This window comes from Homo sapiens, chromosome 19 (genome assembly GCF_000001405.40).
Source record: "Homo sapiens chromosome 19, GRCh38.p14 Primary Assembly".
Taxonomy (NCBI): domain Eukaryota; kingdom Metazoa; phylum Chordata; class Mammalia; order Primates; family Hominidae; genus Homo; species Homo sapiens.
The window spans coordinates 40248526-40264794 of record NC_000019.10 but is presented as its reverse complement, the minus strand read 5'-3'; the positions used below and the strand labels follow the sequence as shown (position 1 = coordinate 40264794).

The 16269-nt window shown below is 49.9% G+C and overlaps 1 protein-coding gene and 1 long non-coding RNA gene across 5 annotated transcripts in view, besides 6 other annotated features; both read left to right on the top strand.

Annotated features, from left to right (window-relative positions):
* AKT2 (AKT serine/threonine kinase 2) overlaps positions 1-16269 on the top strand; it is a 55029-nt gene that overhangs the window by 20551 nt on the left and 18209 nt on the right. For all 4 annotated transcript variants that reach the window (NM_001243028.3, NM_001243027.3, NM_001626.6 and 1 more), the window contains 2 exons: positions 7741-7869; positions 9526-9637. In NM_001243028.3, the coding sequence (NP_001229957.1) occupies positions 9537-9637 (101 nt within the window). In that variant the 5' untranslated portion in view covers positions 7741-7869; positions 9526-9536. The remainder of the gene's footprint in view (positions 1-7740; positions 7870-9525; positions 9638-16269) is intronic.
* Positions 54-639: an enhancer, noted in NCBI's record as "H3K27ac-H3K4me1 hESC enhancer chr19:40770063-40770648 (GRCh37/hg19 assembly coordinates)". NCBI's record gives its function as "activates a minimal SCP1, AML or CMV promoter by ChIP-STARR-seq in naive H9 embryonic stem cells {active_cell/tissue: H9 hESC(naive)}" and the evidence as "EXISTENCE:reporter gene assay evidence [ECO:0000049][PMID:30033119]".
* Positions 7793-8535: an enhancer, noted in NCBI's record as "H3K4me1 hESC enhancer chr19:40762167-40762909 (GRCh37/hg19 assembly coordinates)". NCBI's record gives its function as "activates a minimal SCP1, AML or CMV promoter by ChIP-STARR-seq in naive H9 embryonic stem cells {active_cell/tissue: H9 hESC(naive)}" and the evidence as "EXISTENCE:reporter gene assay evidence [ECO:0000049][PMID:30033119]".
* Positions 8908-9407: an enhancer, noted in NCBI's record as "H3K4me1 hESC enhancer chr19:40761295-40761794 (GRCh37/hg19 assembly coordinates)". NCBI's record gives its function as "activates a minimal SCP1, AML or CMV promoter by ChIP-STARR-seq in primed H9 embryonic stem cells {active_cell/tissue: H9 hESC(primed)}" and the evidence as "EXISTENCE:reporter gene assay evidence [ECO:0000049][PMID:30033119]".
* Positions 9408-9909: an enhancer, noted in NCBI's record as "H3K4me1 hESC enhancer chr19:40760793-40761294 (GRCh37/hg19 assembly coordinates)". NCBI's record gives its function as "activates a minimal SCP1, AML or CMV promoter by ChIP-STARR-seq in primed H9 embryonic stem cells {active_cell/tissue: H9 hESC(primed)}" and the evidence as "EXISTENCE:reporter gene assay evidence [ECO:0000049][PMID:30033119]".
* On the top strand, positions 10468-15062 carry LOC107985289 (uncharacterized). Its single transcript, XR_001753939.2, has 2 exons — positions 10468-12495; positions 12755-15062. It is a non-coding gene; the product is annotated as an uncharacterized LOC107985289 (long non-coding RNA).
* Positions 11926-12549: an enhancer, noted in NCBI's record as "H3K27ac-H3K4me1 hESC enhancer chr19:40758153-40758776 (GRCh37/hg19 assembly coordinates)". NCBI's record gives its function as "activates a minimal SCP1, AML or CMV promoter by ChIP-STARR-seq in naive H9 embryonic stem cells {active_cell/tissue: H9 hESC(naive)}" and the evidence as "EXISTENCE:reporter gene assay evidence [ECO:0000049][PMID:30033119]".
* Positions 12550-13174: an enhancer, noted in NCBI's record as "H3K27ac-H3K4me1 hESC enhancer chr19:40757528-40758152 (GRCh37/hg19 assembly coordinates)". NCBI's record gives its function as "activates a minimal SCP1, AML or CMV promoter by ChIP-STARR-seq in naive H9 embryonic stem cells {active_cell/tissue: H9 hESC(naive)}" and the evidence as "EXISTENCE:reporter gene assay evidence [ECO:0000049][PMID:30033119]".

Genomic DNA, 16269 nt, shown 5'->3' with positions numbered 1-16269 from the left:
GACATGGAATGTCGGGGTGGCAAGTGCTGGGGTGAAAAGTGGGAACTGTGAGTGAGGGACAATGGGCTGGGGGCGGGGGGGCATCAAGAGGCTGCCCGGAGGAGACGGCAGTGGTCAGAGGCCTGGAGCCTGGAGGAGGTGAGACGCTGGCTGGGCAAGGGTGTCCCAGGGAGAGGGACAGCAAGGACAGAGGCTCCCAGGTGGGGATGTGCCTGGTGTTTTCTGGTAACAGCGTGGCTGGAGCAGTGTGAGCTAGGGCGAGCTGGGGGAGGCAAGCAGAGGAGCAACGCGGAGTCCAGCTGTGTCGCGCCTGCAGGTCATGGAAAAGGACCTTGGCTTTGGCACTCCAGACGAGAGCAGCCCTGTGATGTCGTGAGCCGATGCGTGGCCTGATCCATTTGTACTAGTGGGAAGCTGAGGTCCCCTTTTAGTGAAGTTAGGACAGGGAAGAGACCCTTTTTGACCCCAGGGCTGTTTGTCCCAAAGTGGCTGCCACGCAAGACTGGGAGGCAGATGGGGAGAAGCGCCACCTGCTGAGAGATGGCTTTGTCCCAGGCCAGCTTCTGTGGGCCTCCCCCTGGAAAGAAGGTCCCCAGGTGTGGCGGTTGGCTGCCCTGTGTGCACTTGCATTCATTCAGCAAACACGTGCTGAGCAGCGCCTGTGGGCCAGGCGCTGTTCTAGGTCCTGGGGTCCAGCAGTGAGCCCGACAGGCAAACATCCCATCCTCGTGTTAGTATCTTGGGCGCTGACAGGGAGGCAGACAGCTCCCAGGCAGACATGCATGTCTCACGGTGGCGCGAGCCATGGAGAAAAAACAAGCAACGTGAGGATGGGAGGGCATGAGGCAGGCAGGGCGGCCAGAGGGGGCTTCGCTGAGAAGGGGGCATCTGAATAAAGGCCTGAAGGAAATCGGGGATTGAGCCTCACAGTTATGCCAGAGGCGACAGCCAATGAGTCCTGAGGGGGTAAGTGGGCTTGTTCAAAGAGGGGGCAGGAAGCTGGCGCTGCAGGCATCGGGAAGAGCCACGCATCCTGCACTGTACCAGCCTGCAGACGCAGACAGGGAGCAGCGATGAGGGATGGACGCCCCTCCCTGGGAGCAGCCTCCCCACCTGACTGAGCAGAGGAGATTCGTGTCCTGCTGCTCTTTCTGGACAGAGATGGCTTTTAAGGTCCCTTGGCCCAGTCCCCCAGCCTGAGCCTGGAGTCTGGGTTTGTTGATGGAGCTTCCTGAGTCTTGGCAGCTATCAAGGTTCTAACCCTGGTTCTGCTGCTTCCTCTTAGTGCAACTGTGAGCAAGCCATGTCACCTCACTGAGCCTTGGTTTCACATCTATAAAGTGGGTTAACAAGCCAGATCTCTGATGTTGTCAGCTCTACAAGGGTAGGCATTTTCATGAGGCTTCTTCACAGTGGTATCCCCAGCACGTCTAAAAGTGGTGGGCATACAGTAGGCACTCAGTAAATGGTTGTTGAATGAATGGTTGGCGTGGTGTGTGGGTGGTGTGCTGGGGAACACAGGGTCATGGGCTCCTGTCCCGTGGCCTGCACGTGCGGAGGCCATGGCTCATTAGGCTGGACTGTGAGAGCCTTGGGATGGGTGTGGAACTGTTGGAGGGGCAAGAGTTTCTCTCTGGTCTAGGATTACTGATGGCATTAAATGAGTCTTGGCCCCTCTTGGGCCTTCAGTGTCCGCATTCATGTTACAAGGGGCCAGATGACCCAGCCACAGGCCTGCCTCTGTCATCTGGGATGGCCTAGCTCTGACACACCTGTCTCAGGTTTGCACCCTACACACACGCTTGTGCACACCTGCACTCTTGGGCCTTCCCAGTGCCCATCTTTCTGAGTAGCAGCTGGCAGAGGTGGGCAAGGTGAGGTGGGCCCTGCTGACTACTGCTGTTTTGGGACCTGTACCACCCCACCGACCCCCTTGGTGGTTAAAATAATGGCAGTGCTGGTTTACTGAGCACTTACTGTGTGCCAGACACCTGTCTCTGCTCTAGGCAAGCCTGATTTTGTTGAATTTTTATAGATGCCCTGTGGAGCACATGCCACCTTACAGACTGGAAAGCTAAGGTTCAGTAGGAAGAGTGACTTGCTTGAGGTTTCAGCAAGGAGTGGGTAGAGCTGAGGTTGGACTCAGGCCCTCTGACTCCTGAACTAGTGCTCTCAAGGCCTGGCCCACGTGCTGCCTCTCACCCAGCAAGCTGTGCTTAAGGCCAAGGGTGTAGTAATAGCACATCTAATCAGAGTCACTCATGCCATGTGCTGGTCCCACTTCTGACACAGCTGCAGCACACCACCATTAGCAGAGCACCTGCCCTCTGCCACGCCCCATGCTGGGCTCCATCTGCCGGTTTAGAGGCAGACGGTATAGTAGTCAAGATGTGGGCTGTGCTTTCCAATTCTGGCTCTCCCAGGTAACAGCTGGGAAGGTTGGGCAAACTAATAGGACCTCTCTGTGACTCAGTTTCCCCATCCGCAAAATAGGAATACAATTGTGAGGATATTTTTCCTTCTACCTGTTTTTTGTCTTTTTTTTTTTTTCATAGATATATGGTCTTGCTATATTGCCCAGGTGGGTCTTGAACTCCTAGCCTCAAGTGAGTCTCCTGTCTTGGCCTCCCAAAGTGCTGGGATTACAGTTGTGAGCCACTGCGTTCAGCTTTTAGGTTTCTTTTCTTAGCTTGTTACCAAAGTATGAAAGGCCACAGATAAATGCCTGGATAATAAACTCGCCCCAATCCCAGTGTACAGTTCAAGAAATAGAATAAGACGGTCCCCGGAAGCTCTCCCAAGTGCTCCTCCCAAGCAGTTACCGCTCTCCTAACCTCCAGTAACACAGATGAGGTTTTTTTTAGTTTTTATCCTTTAAAAAAAAAAAAACGGGGATGAAATTTACATAACGTGAGATTAACCATTTTGAAGTGTATGATTCATTGGCCTTTAGTATATCACAATGTTGTGTAACCACTACCTCTATCTAGTTTCAAAACCTTTTCATTACCCCAAAATAAAACTTTGTACCCATTAAGCAGTCAGTTTTTGTATCCTATGTCTTAGTTCATTCTGTGCTGCTATAACATATTACCCGAGACTGGGTAATTTATAATGAACAGAAACTTATTTCTTACCGTTCTGGAGGTAGGGAAGTCCGAGATTCAGGGTTGGCATCTTCTTGTCACACGTCCCATGGTGAAAGGGGAAGGGTAAGAGAGAACAAGACAGGGCTGAACTTGTCTTGTTTTTTTTTTTTTTTGAGATGGAGTCTTGCTCTGTCGCCCAGGCTGGAGTGCCGTGGCGCGATCTCGGCTCACTGCAACCTCTGCCTCCTTGGTTCAAGGAATTCTCCTGCTTCAGCCTCCTGAGTAGCTGGGATTACAGGCGTGTGCCACCATGCTTGGCTAATTTTTGTATTATTAGTAGAGATGGGGTTTCACCATGTTGGCCAGGCTGGTCTTGAACTCCTGACCTCAGGTGATCCACCTGCCTTGGCCTCCCAAAGTGCTGGGATTACAGGCGTGAGCCATTGCGCCTGGCCGAACTCGTCCTTTTATAAGGAACCCACTCTGTGATAATGTCATTAATCCATTCATGAGGGTGGTGCTCCCTTCACCCAAATACCTCCCATGAGGCTGCATTGGGGATCAAGTTTCCAACACATGAACTTTGGGGGACAATTCAATTCATAGCACCCCCTGTCTCCTGGTGTCTGCTAACCACCAGTTTACTTTCTGTCTCTATGAATTTACCTACTCTGGACATTTCATGTAAATGGAATCATATGTGGCCTTTTGTGACTGGCTTCTTTAACTTAGCAACATGATTTTTTGTTTTGAGTCAGGGTCTTGGGCTATCGCCCAGGCTGCAGTGCAGTGGTGGGACCTTGGCTCATGGCTCACTGCAGCCTCAACCTCCTGGTCTCAAGTGATCCTCCTGCCTCAGCCTCCAGAGTAGCTGGGACTACAGGCAGGTGCCACCACACTTGGCTAAGCTTAATGTTTTTGAGGTTCCTCTATGTAGTAGCGTATATCAATATGTCGTTCCTTCTTATGGATGAATAATCTCTATGTTGTAGATGTATCACATTTTGTTATCTGTTAATTTGTTGATGGACATTGGGATGATATATTCTTTTTTTTTTTTTTTTTTTTTTTTTTTTTGAGATGGAATCTCACTCTGTCACCAGGCTGGAGTGCAGTGGCGTGATCTCGGCTCACTGCAGCCTCCGCCTCCTGGGTTCAAGTGATTCTCCTGCCTCAGCCTCCTGAGTAGCTGGGACTACAGGTGTGCGCCACCATGCCTGGCTAATTTTTATATTTTTAGTAGAGATGGGGTTTCACCATATTGGCCAGGATGGTCTTTATCTCTTGACCTTGGGATCCGCCCACCTCGGCCTCCCAAAGTGCTGGGATTACAGGCGTGAGCCACCAAGCCCGGCCTCGGGGTGATATATTCTATATTTAACTTTTTGAAGAAGCAGCTGCACCATTTTACATTCCCACCAGCAGTGCATGAGGGTGTCAGTTTATATCCTTGCCAACACTTGTTTTTTTTTCATTACAGCCATCCTTGGGCATGTAAAGTTGTACCTCATTGTGTGTGTGGATTTTTTTGTTTTTGTTTTGTTTTGTTTTTTTGAGACAGAGTCTTGCTCTGTCTCCCATGCTGGAGTGCAGTGGCACGATCTCAGCTCACTGTAACCTCCACCTCCTGGGTTCACATGATTCTCAGGCCTCAGCCTCCCAAGCACTGGGACTATAGGCATGTGCCACCACGCCCGGCTAATTTTTGTATTTTTAGTAGAGATGGGGTTTGATCATGTTGGCCAGGCTGGTTTTGAACTCCTGACCTCAAGTGATCCGCCTGCCTCGACCTCCCAAAGTGCTGGGATTACAGGTGTGAGCTACCGCGCCCGGCCTTCATCGTGATTTTGATTTATGTTTGCCAGATGACTAATGATGCTGAACATCTTTTCATCTTTCTGTTGACCATTTGTGTATCTTTGGAGGAATATCTCTTTGAGTCCTTTGCTCATTTTAAAATCAGGCAGTTTGTCTTTTTGTTGTTGCATTGTAAGAGTTCTTTATGTGTTCTGGTTAATAGACCCTTATTAGATTTCCAAGTATTTCCACCCATTCTGTAGGTTATCTTTTTACTTTCTTGACAGTGTCCTTTCATGCACAAAGGTTTTTAATTTTGATGAGTTCACTTGAAGTTTTTCTTTTTGTTGCTTGTGCATTTGGTGTCATCTAAGAATTCATTGCCAAATTCAAAGTAATGAGATTTACTCATGTATTCTTAGACTTTTTTTGTAGTTTTAGCTCTTATATTCAGGTCAATTCATTTTGAGTTTATTTTTGTATATGGTTTACAGTGTGAAGTAGGATATCACAAAAGAATGTGATATCCATTCTTTTGAATGTGGATATCCAGTTGCCTCAGTTTCTTCATCTGCAAAATAGGGATAAGATTGTGAGGATAGGCTACTCTGGGCACATTGCCTATGGGTCACTGTTCCCTGCTCTGCAAGGAACAGTATTTAAATTAACAAAAAAAATTGTAAGGATATTTTTTCTTCTAGGTTTCTTTTCTTTCGTTTTGAAAAAATATAGTCTCTTTGTTGAAGAAACTGTTCTTTCCCCATTGAATGATCTTGGCATCTGTGTTGAAAATCAGTTGAATGTAGATATTTGGGTTTATTTTTTGGCTCTGAATTCTCTTCCATTGGTCTGTATGTCTGTCCTGTATAAACTGTACTGTTTTGATTACTATAGCTTTGTATAGTAAATTTTGAAATTGGAAAGTATTTAACTTTATTTTTCTTTTTCAATATTATTTTGGCTCTTTGGGGCCCTTTGAAATTCCATGTGAATGTGAGGATTGGCTTTTCTATTTCTGAAAAAAGAAAAAGCCTGTTGGAATTTTGATAGGGATTGCATTGAATCTGTATATTGCTTTGGGTAGTATTGCCATCTTAACAATATTGTCTTCTAATCCATGCACACAGGATGTTTTTGCATTTATGTAGATCTCTAATTTCTTTAAACAATGTTTTGTAGTATACAAGCCCTTCACCCCCTTGGTTAAGTATTTTTTTGGAGGCTTTTGTAAATGCTTTTTTTTTTTTTTTTTAAGAGCTAGGGTCTTGCTCTGTCACTGGGCTGGACTGCAGTGGCACCATCATAGCTTCAATTTCTTGAGCTCAGGTGATTCTGCCATTTCGGCCTCCTGAGTAGCTGGGACTTCAGGCACACGCAACGACTCCTGGCTAATTAAAAAACATTTTTTGTGGAGACCAGATCTCACTATGTTGCCCAGGCTCGTCTCAAACTCCAGACTTAAGCCTGCCTCAGCCTCCCAAAGTGCTAGGATTTTACAGGTGGGAGCCACTGTGCTGGTGTTTAATAGCCATGTTGAGGTAAAACTGATGTACTACATGATTCATCCATTTAAAGCATACAGTTCAGTTGGTTTTAGTATGTTCAGAGTTGTGCATCCATCACCATACTCAGGTTTTTTTTTTTGTTTTTTTTTTTTTTTTTTCGAGACGGAGTTTCGCTCTTGTTGCCCAGGCTGGAGTGCAATGGTGTGATCTCGGCTCACGGCAACCTCTGCCTCCCAGGTTCAAGGAGTCTCCTGCCTCAGCCTCCCAAGTAGTGGGATTATAGGCATGCACCACCATGCCTGGCTAATTTTGTATTTTTAGTAGAGATGGGGTTTCTCCATGTTGGTCAGGCTGGTCTCCAACTCCCGACCTCAGGTGATCCGCTCGCCTCGGCCTCCCAAAGTGCCGGGATTACAGGTGTGCGCCACCGTGCCGGGCCCTACTTTTCATCTCTGTAGATTTGCCTGTTCTGGGCATTTTATATAAATGGAGTCATAATGATACGTGGTCCTTTGTGACTGGCTTCTTTCACTTAGCATAAGTTACGGTCCCTCCACATGGCAGCATGTCTCAGTACTTCGTTTCTTTTTATGACTGAATAGTTTTCCGTTGTATGAATCTGCTACATTTTGTTTATCCATTCGTTGTTGATGGACATTAGGGTCGTTTCCACTCGATGGCTGTTATGAATAATGCTGTTGAGGACATTTGTGTGTAAGTTTTTGTGTGGATGTGTTTCACCATCTCCTTTTAATCCTTAGCAGCTCTCTGATGAGTGGGTTCGTGTGTGTGTGTGTGTGTGTGTGTGTGTGTGTGTTTGTGTGCATAGGGTGCTTGGATATTCATGGTGAAGAACAGTTGGAAAGAGTCAAGGGGCGCTGGGAGGGTGTGGCAGCAGTGCCACCCTGCCTGGCACAGAAGTGTTTTGGCATTGGAGCTACCTGCACAGCTGTATTGGTGAATCCCAGCCCATGGGATTTGGCCTTACAGGGCCACAGGGCATGTGTGTTTGGAAGCCTGGGCCTCCCCTGGGACTAGGCCAGGAGCTGGCACAGACAGCTTGCTCCTTGCCACACGCTGAGGCAACTGGTGCCCCAGGGCACTGCTGCTGGCACCTTCCTGCCAGGCATGACCTGTGGATCACCCGGGCTCAGCCCAGTGCCCCAGCCTGCGTCAGCAGGGGCCACCTGGAGGGCTCCTCTGGGAGAGGCATTCTCGTGTGTCCCCCGCACCTCCCCGCCCCGTGGTACCCCTTGTGAGTCACCGTCACACTGGGCCTCCTGCCGCCTACCTGGGACATCACTCAACCTTGTCCTAACCTCTCTCCCTCCCTTCCTGCCTCATTTCAGGTGAATACATCAAGACCTGGAGGCCACGGTACTTCCTGCTGAAGAGCGACGGCTCCTTCATTGGGTACAAGGAGAGGCCCGAGGCCCCTGATCAGACTCTACCCCCCTTAAACAACTTCTCCGTAGCAGGTGTGTCTTGGGATGAGTGGGTCAGTGTTCTGGTGCTCACAGGATGGCTGGCACGTCTTAGGGGCTTGTGGGACTTGGTCATTGAGCCATGGGCCTGTCCTGGGCCTGCTTGCCCTTGGATCTGTTTTCACCCTTCCCCTGCTCTCCCTCCTTGTTAGCTGGCCAGGCGGGGCTGTCCTGCGGGGAGATGCAGAGTGGGAGGGAGGGAGAAGCCAGGGCATTTGCCCACACCCAGCCCCATGCATCGCCTCCTTGTGGTTCCAGCTTCTGTCAGCCAGGCCTTGGAGTCCCCAACTGGTGGCAGGTGCCTCCCATCCTGTGCTTTGGTAACAGCCTCCATCCTCTGTCCCTCGGACGTAGAGGGGTCACAGCTTCCCACTCAGCTGGTCACAGGGCTGGCCTCGCGTCCTCTGTCCCTCTGTAATACCCAAAGGGATGTCTTCCAGCCAGACCCTGGCAGTGAAGTTTCACAAGCCCCAAGCTCTTGACTGAGCCTTGGAGAATATGGTCCTGTCCACATCGCTGCCCCTTTCTGCCGCCTTCCTTCCTTGCTGACCTGATGGGTCACCATGTCCTGTTGTTCTGCCTGCTAAGAACATTACAGAGGCACCCCCATCTCCACTGCCAGTGCCTTAGCTCAGACCACTATCCTCTCCTGCCATGCTGTGGAACCCAGTCCCCGTCCCACGCTGCTCTGCATGAAGCCTTTTCCTGATTGCTCTCCACATGTGCTGGTGACCCTGACACATCTGTTCCCAACCTCAGTGTCTCACTAGAACTCCCAGCCTGTCCCAGGCTGCTCCTTGGACACATCTCCCCAAGTGTCTTCAAGGTCCTCATAAGTGCCACATCCCAACCTGACCTTCAGGCCTCTCCCAGCTCTATTCCTGTCTCTGTCTCAGGGACAGCAGGCCGAGAGGCCTGGGCCTGGTCCTCAGTGCCCTCTTCCCATGGCCTGTCTGCAGGGCTCCACTCTGGTGTGGCCCCATCCTCCCTAGCTGGCTCCCCACCTCCCTGGCCTTCCAACCTCCAGCCTCACCCTCTACATGGCAGCCAGAGGGATCATTCTCAGTCTGTTTGTGTCTCTTCCCTATCTAAAGCCTTCTATGGCTCCCTGCTGCCCTGAGGACAAAGTCCAGATTCTTTCCCATGGCCTCCAAAGCCCTGCCTGGCTGGCCCCAGCCCACCTCTCCAGGGCTGTCTCTCACTTACCCCTCCTCACCCTTGGAGCAGAATTGGCCACCCCCTGAGGATGTTGAACCTCCTCTCACCTCTGAGCGTCTGTTCTCCGTGTACCCTCTAAGTTCCCTTTTCCTTCAGGGCTTAGTTCAGAGAAGCTGCTTCCTCTGGGAAGCCCCCCAACCCCCCAGGCTGGGTTGGATGCTACCTCTGAGCTTCTGCACACCTCTAGGCTTGTCCCCATCGCGGCCCTGTCTATGGAGCCATCACTCTCTGGTGGGCTTCTCTCCTTCCACACACACACACACTAGACCCTGAGCCCTGTGAGAACAGGACCAGGGCTGTCTCAGTCCCTAGAGTGTCCCCAGCACCATCTAGCATGGGGCTAGGCCTGTGGGAGGTGGCTCGGGCACTTTGGGCTGCAGGCTAGCAGGGCTATCCCCTCAGCCCCCTGCTGTCTGTTCCCTCTGCCTGCAGAATGCCAGCTGATGAAGACCGAGAGGCCGCGACCCAACACCTTTGTCATACGCTGCCTGCAGTGGACCACAGTCATCGAGAGGACCTTCCACGTGGATTCTCCAGACGAGAGGTCAGTCTGGGCCTCTGTGTGGCTGCCCTTGAGAGGGAGCAAGCCTGGTGTGAGGAGAAAAGGTACAGCTGGAGAGATTTTCCCTGGGACCCTACATAGGGGTTTCCTATCTGCGCTTCTGGTTGGGGGGTCTCTCCAGCTGGGGCTGAGAAGAGCTGGGGTTCTTAGTCTGAAGACCCTACTCTGCCCTTTGACTTGCGGGTGCATCGGAATCACAGGCAGAGCTCGTGAAATGTCTAGACCGCTGGGCCTCGCCTCAAGACCTGTGACTACCTGGAGATCTGCCCAGGGTCAGGGAGCTACATTCTTTTTTTTTTTTCTGAAATGGAGTTTCGCTCTTATTGCCCAAGTTGGAATGCAGTGGCATGATCTTGGCTCACTGCAACCTCCAACCTCCACCTCCTGGGTTCAAGCGATTTTCCTGCCTCAGCCTCCCAAGTAGCTGGGATTACAGGCGTGTGCCACCATGCCCGGCTTAGTTTTTGTATTTTTAGTAGAAAAGGGGCTTCTCCATATTAGCCAGGCTGGTCTCAAACTCCTGACCTCAGGTGATCCGCCTGCCTCGGCCTCCCAAAATGCTGGGATTACAGGTGCAAGCCACCACACCTGACCCCCTTTTTTTTTTTTTTTGAGACAGAGTCTTGCTCTGTTGCCCAGGCTGGAGTGTAGTGGTGCCATCTCAGTTTACTGCAACCTCCGCCTCCCGGGTTCAAGTGATTCTCCTGCCTCAGCCTCCCAAGTAGCTGGGATTACAGGCACGTGCCACCACATCTGGCTAATTTTTGTATTTTTAGTAGAGACAGGATTTCGCCATGTTGGCCACACTGGTCTCGAACTTTTGGCCTTAGGTGATCTCCCTCGGCCTCCAAAGTGCTGAGATTACAGGTGTGAGCCACCCTGCCCGGCAGGACCTACATTCTTAATGAGCATCTCTATTGATTTTGAGGCAGGTGGTCCAGAGAGTCATTTTAAAAAGATCAATTTAGTAATCAGAAGAGATGATAAAGACTCATCTATTTCAAAATTGAAACAGTATAAGGAGGTGTCTAGTGGGAGCTTCCCCTACCCTGCCCTTTCCATCCACCTCCCTGCCCCCCAGTTAATCACTGTTCTTAGGTGCCCTCAAAGAGCAGAGGGAGACCTTTGTGCCTGGCTGCCTTTTTTTTTTTTTTTTTAAATACAAAAGGTAGCATTGTACATGCTTCTGGACTTGCTTTTTCCCTTAGTGTACCTTGGGGAATTTGCCTTGATATATGGAGAGATGCAGCTGCTTTGTTTCATGTTTTGCTTTTTTTTTTGGACAGTTGGACATGCGTGTCCCAAGTGTGTTTATTTAGCCGTTCTTTATTGTGATGACTGGGGTTGTTTCCAGCCTTTGGCTCATTATAAGGAATGCTGCAGTGAAATAGCCGTGTCTGTCTCGTTTGATGTGTGCACAGGTAGACCTGTGTGACGAGTGCTTAGATGCAGGATTGCCGAGGCACAGGGAAAATAAGTTTGTGGTTTTGCGATGTTTCTATTAGGCGATGTCTGAGAGTGCCCCCATGGCCTTGTGTTTTCAAACATTTGGATTTGTACCAGTCTGAGCAGTGGAAAAATTCAGCACCTCGGGGTGTTTAACTTTCCTTTCTTTCTCTGTGGATGAGTTTGACCCTCAAGGGCCATGTGAGTTCCTATTCTGAAGTGTCTATATTGTCTATTTTTCTGTTGGGTAGTTGGTCTTTTTCTTATTTATGTATTAGCTCTTTATAGATTAAGGAGCTTTGCCCTTTGTAATCAGTGGGAAATGTTTCTTTTTCCCACTTTGTCCTTTTGGGCCTCACTTTGAGAAACAGTCTTCTAGCTTATCTATGGGGTAAGGTTTCAGCAGACCCTCTAGAGAGCCCTAAAATCATGCCGTCCAAGAAAACTTCCGGCCATTGTGGAAATGCCCTTTATCTGCACTGTCCAGTAGGCACCTGTGCCAATTGCCTGTGCCGATTGCCTGTGCTGACTGCTTGTGCCGATTGAGCATTTGAAATACAGCCACCAAGGAATGGATTTTTTCTAGTTTATTTTAATTGATTTAAAGAGCCACATATGGCTAGTGGCTACCTTCTTGGACAGTACAGCTCAGGAACCCACAATATCATGAGACTTGTTACTATAATCTATACTATAATTATTGTTGCACATCCTCCCAAGGTAAAAAATATACTTGCCCCACTGAGGGGAACAAAATTACCATCTCAAGCCAGCTGAGGTGCTACTCAGTTGAAAACTATGGACCAAAACATGAATGGCCAGTAAAAACAGATCGAGACCAGTGGGTGTATAGGTCCTGGGTGTTGAGCTGGGTTTTGAAGACTGGATAGGATTTGGCCACGGAGATAGCAAGGAGAAAGTTCAGAAGGGACAGCATATGCAAAGACCTGGAGGTGAAATAGCTCATGCATTCCAGAGACTACAGGGGGTTCTGTGTCACCAGAGAACCAAGGGGCCAGGAGTGTTGGAAGAGGGGAAGTGGAGGCGCTCGAAGCTGGAGAGCTCAGCCAAGGCCTTGGACTCCAGGTGGAGATCCCCACAGGGCTTGGCAGGCACTTAGTAAATTGCGGTTTGTCCCAGGGTAGTTACACGATGCAGGGGAATGATAAATAGGAGCGGCTGATGCAGCAGTACCTGGCACATCAGGTACTGACAAGGTGGAGCTGACAAGGTGTTTTAGTAGGCAGGAGAGATGGTCTCGTTTCCATTTTCACAAGACAACATGCCCTTTCCTTTACCAAGATTCTGTAGGCTGGAGAGCCCCACCTGCCTTTTCTTCTTGGTACCTGCTGCTGTTGCCAAAGAGAAAACTGCTGGAACGACTAAGAGACCAGGTCCCAGATTTCTGACCTTAACTATGGGTGGGTGGAGGGGGTGAACCAGAAACCCAGCAAGAGGGAGGCCCCCTCCACTCTGCTCCTGGCTGACTGATGCTGTCCTCACAGCCCTGGCCCACACAGGCTGATGTCAGCTGGCCTCTCTTAAGCCTGGGGAGGGAGGCAGGGGTTGCAGGGCAGGTGGGTGCCAGTCGGTGACTGCTTGTTGGCTAGGTGCTGCAGCGCCTCCTCACTGGGCTCCTGGTTGCCTCTCCAGCTGGAGAGACCCTCCTCCCTGTCCCCCACTTCACTGCAGACGTGTTTCACATGGAGAAAAGTTGAAAGAATAGTATAATGAATGGACATCCACGCGCCCCACTCCTAGACTCTGCAGTCCCGCATTCACCGTGTCTGCTTCATCTGGTTGTGTTTTATGCTGAACTTGAACTTGTGTTCATACTTAGTGACATTCTTAGTGTTTCAGCAGGCATCTCCTAAGAATAAGGACTTTCTCCTACAGAATCATGATGCTGTCACGCCTGAGATGATTATAATCTTTGTTTACTAGTAACTTCTCCTTATCCATGCCGTACTTGAATTTCTTTAGTTACCTTTTGAAGGATATGCAACCTTTAGAACATTGTTTTAAAACCAGTATTCATTCAAGGTACATGTCTCTTTGACTTGTTTTATTTAATCTAGTTCAGCCCTTTGTCTTTTTTTTTCCTCCCCAAGACATTGATTTTTTATTAATTTATTTATTTTTTTGACAAGCCAGGCTAGTTGTCTTGTAGAATGTCACACCTTCTGGGTGTGTCATATTATTGCCTTTTGGTGTTGTTTACTTTTGTTCCCCATGTTTGTATTTCTTGTAAACTAGAATTAGGCCAGGAACAGGGTTGGCAAACTATGGCCCTGCCTTCCATTTTTGTAAATAAAGTTTTATTGGAACATGACCATGTCCATTTGTTCATGAATAGTCTGGCTGCTTTTGGCTTACTGTGGCTGGGTTAAGTAGTTGTGACAAAGACTGTCTTGCAAAGCCTAAAAAATTTAATAATTGGCCCTTTTAAAATTTTAATTAAAATTTTTTAAATTTAAAACTTTTTTTTTAGAGACAAGTTCTTGCTCTCTTGCCCAGGCTGGAGTGCAGCGGTGCAATCATAGCTCACTGCAGTCTCAAACTCCTGAGCTTAATCCATCCTTACGCCTCAGGATCCTGAGTAGCTGGGACTAAAGGTATGCACCACCATGCCTGGCGAATTTTTAAATTTTTTTGTGGAGACAGAGTCTTGCTATGTTGTCCAGGCCGGTCTGGAACTCCTGGTCTCAAGCAATCCTCCCTCCTCCACCTCCCAAAGTGCTGGGATTATAGGCACAAACCACCACACCCAGCTTTCTGGTCCTTGATGGAAAAAGTTTGCAGACCCCTGGTCTTGGCAGGCAAGAATACTTAATAGTGCATCAGGTGAGTATGATCTTTTTGTTGTTGTTTTGATGGGGTCTCTGTTGCCCAGGCTGCAGTGCAGTGGCAGAATCACGACTCACTGCAGCCTCAATCTCCCGGATTTAGGTGATCCTCCCACCCCAGCCTCCCTAGTAGCTAGAACTACAGGCGCCTGCCACCACACCAGGCTAATTTTTGTATTTTTTGTAGAGATGGGGTTTCACCATGTTGCCCAGGCTGGTCTTGAACCCCTGGGCTCAAGTGATCTGCCCATCTTAACCTCCCAGAGTGCTAAGATTACAGCCATGAGCCACTGTGCCTGGCCATCTGTGATCTTTTTGACGTAAATCTTTCTTTCTTTTTTTTTTAGACAGAGTTTCACTCTTGTTGCCCAGGCTGGAGTACAATGGTGCAATCTTGGTTCACTGCAACATCTTCCTCCTGGGTTCAAGTGATTCTCACGCCTCAGCCTCCTGAGTAGCTGGGATTACAGGCACGCGCCACCATGCCTAGCTCATTTTGTATTTTTAGTAGAGATGGGGTTTCTCTCATGTTGGTCAGGCTGGTCTCGAACTCCTGACCTCAGGTGATCTGCCCGCCTCGGCCTCCCAAAATGCTGGGATTACAAGCGTGAGCCACCGTGCCTGGCCTTGATGTAAATCTTATCATGTATTTTCTCTGCTTAGAACTCTGAATGGCTTTCACTCCCACTCAGAGTAAACTCCAAGGTCCGTGCTGTGTCCTGCAGAGTCCTGTATGATCCAGCGACCTCTCCAGAAGCATTTCCTACCACAAGCACCCTCACTTAGCCACGTGTCTCCTTGCTGTTCCTTAAACATGCCTAGCACATCTCTTGCCCGAGGGCCTCAGCGCTTGCTGTCGCGTTTGTCTAAGGCCTTCCTCCCTGAGATGCCATCACAGCTCTCCCCGACTCCACGAGGTCTCTGCCCCAGTGTTGCCACCCCAGTGCGTCCTGCCCTGCCTCCCTTCGCTGTCTTGCCCTTCCCCAGCTGTGCTTTTCTTCATAGCACCTGTCCACCAAGTGGGACATTTATATTTATGTATGTATCTGGCACACAAATGGGTGTTCAGTAAATGTTTGTTGGATAAATAAAAAATAATTAAATTCTCTGAGCTAGATCCTGTTCCGAGGACTTTTCATATATTAATTTATTTTCTCCTCACAAGGCAGACTATCTGTGCACAGGGAGGGCCCCAGATGCCCTCCAGCTGTAAATGCCCCTCTAGGTCGGGGAGGTGATGGTTAGGGGAGAGTCCCCACAGTCAGCTGTCACTCCTGAAGCGGTGAGGACGGGCTTGTGCATGAAGGACAGCCCTGCCACCTCTGCTTCGCCGAGCTTCTCTCTGGGGTGCCCCGCAGGATGGCCCAGGGCTGGGGTCCAGGCCCTGGATTCAGGCCAGCTGCCGTGTCTCTCCCTCAGTGGGGCTCAGTTCCCTGGCTGTCATGTGGTGTAGAGGAGGAAGTAAACATGAAGGCACTGGCGCAGGGCCTGCCCATGGCAGCTTTGGCACACGCAGCACTGGTACCTTTCTTACCTCTGTCTCCTCTGCCACCAGCATCTCTTTCCTGGAGGATGCCGGGGTCTCCTCTCACTGCCCCCAGTCCGTAGCCCACACAGCAGCTACTGACTTAAAACAGAAATTTGGAGCCTGTTCCCCCCTGACTAAAACCCTTCAGCGACTTCCTGTGGTGCTGAGGATAAGACCCAGATCTCTAACATGGTGGCACGTAGAGGCCGGAGCGGTCTGGGCATGCTCTCCTCCCTGTCCTCATCTCCTCCACTCCTCCCTGTCCTCATCTCCTCCACTCCTCCCTGTCCTCATCTCCTCCACTCCTCCCTGTCCTCATCTCCTGCACTCCTCTCTCTCCTCATCTCCTCCACTCCTCCCTGTCCTCATCTCCTCCACTCCTCCCTGTCCTCATCTCCTGCACTCCTCTCTCTCCTCATCTCCTCCACTCCTCCCTGTCCTCATCTCCTCCACTCCTCCCTGTCCTCATCTCCTGCACTCCTCTCTGTCCTCATCTCCTCCACTCCTCCCTGTCCTCATCTCCTCCACTCCTCCCTGTCCTCATCTCCTCCACTCCTCCCTGTCCTCATCTCCTGCACTCCTCTCTGTCCTCATCTCCTCCACTCCTCTCTGTTGGCTCCAGCCATTCTGGCACCTGTGTGCCTTTCACAGACACCCCAGCTTGCTCCTGCCCTGGGGTCTTTGCCATGCAGTTCCCTCTGCCTGGGTTCCTTTCCCTCCCAATCCCCTGCCTCCTTCCCTCCATTTCATTTATTTCATAGCTGTGTGCCAAGGGCCTGTTCTAGGCACTGGGG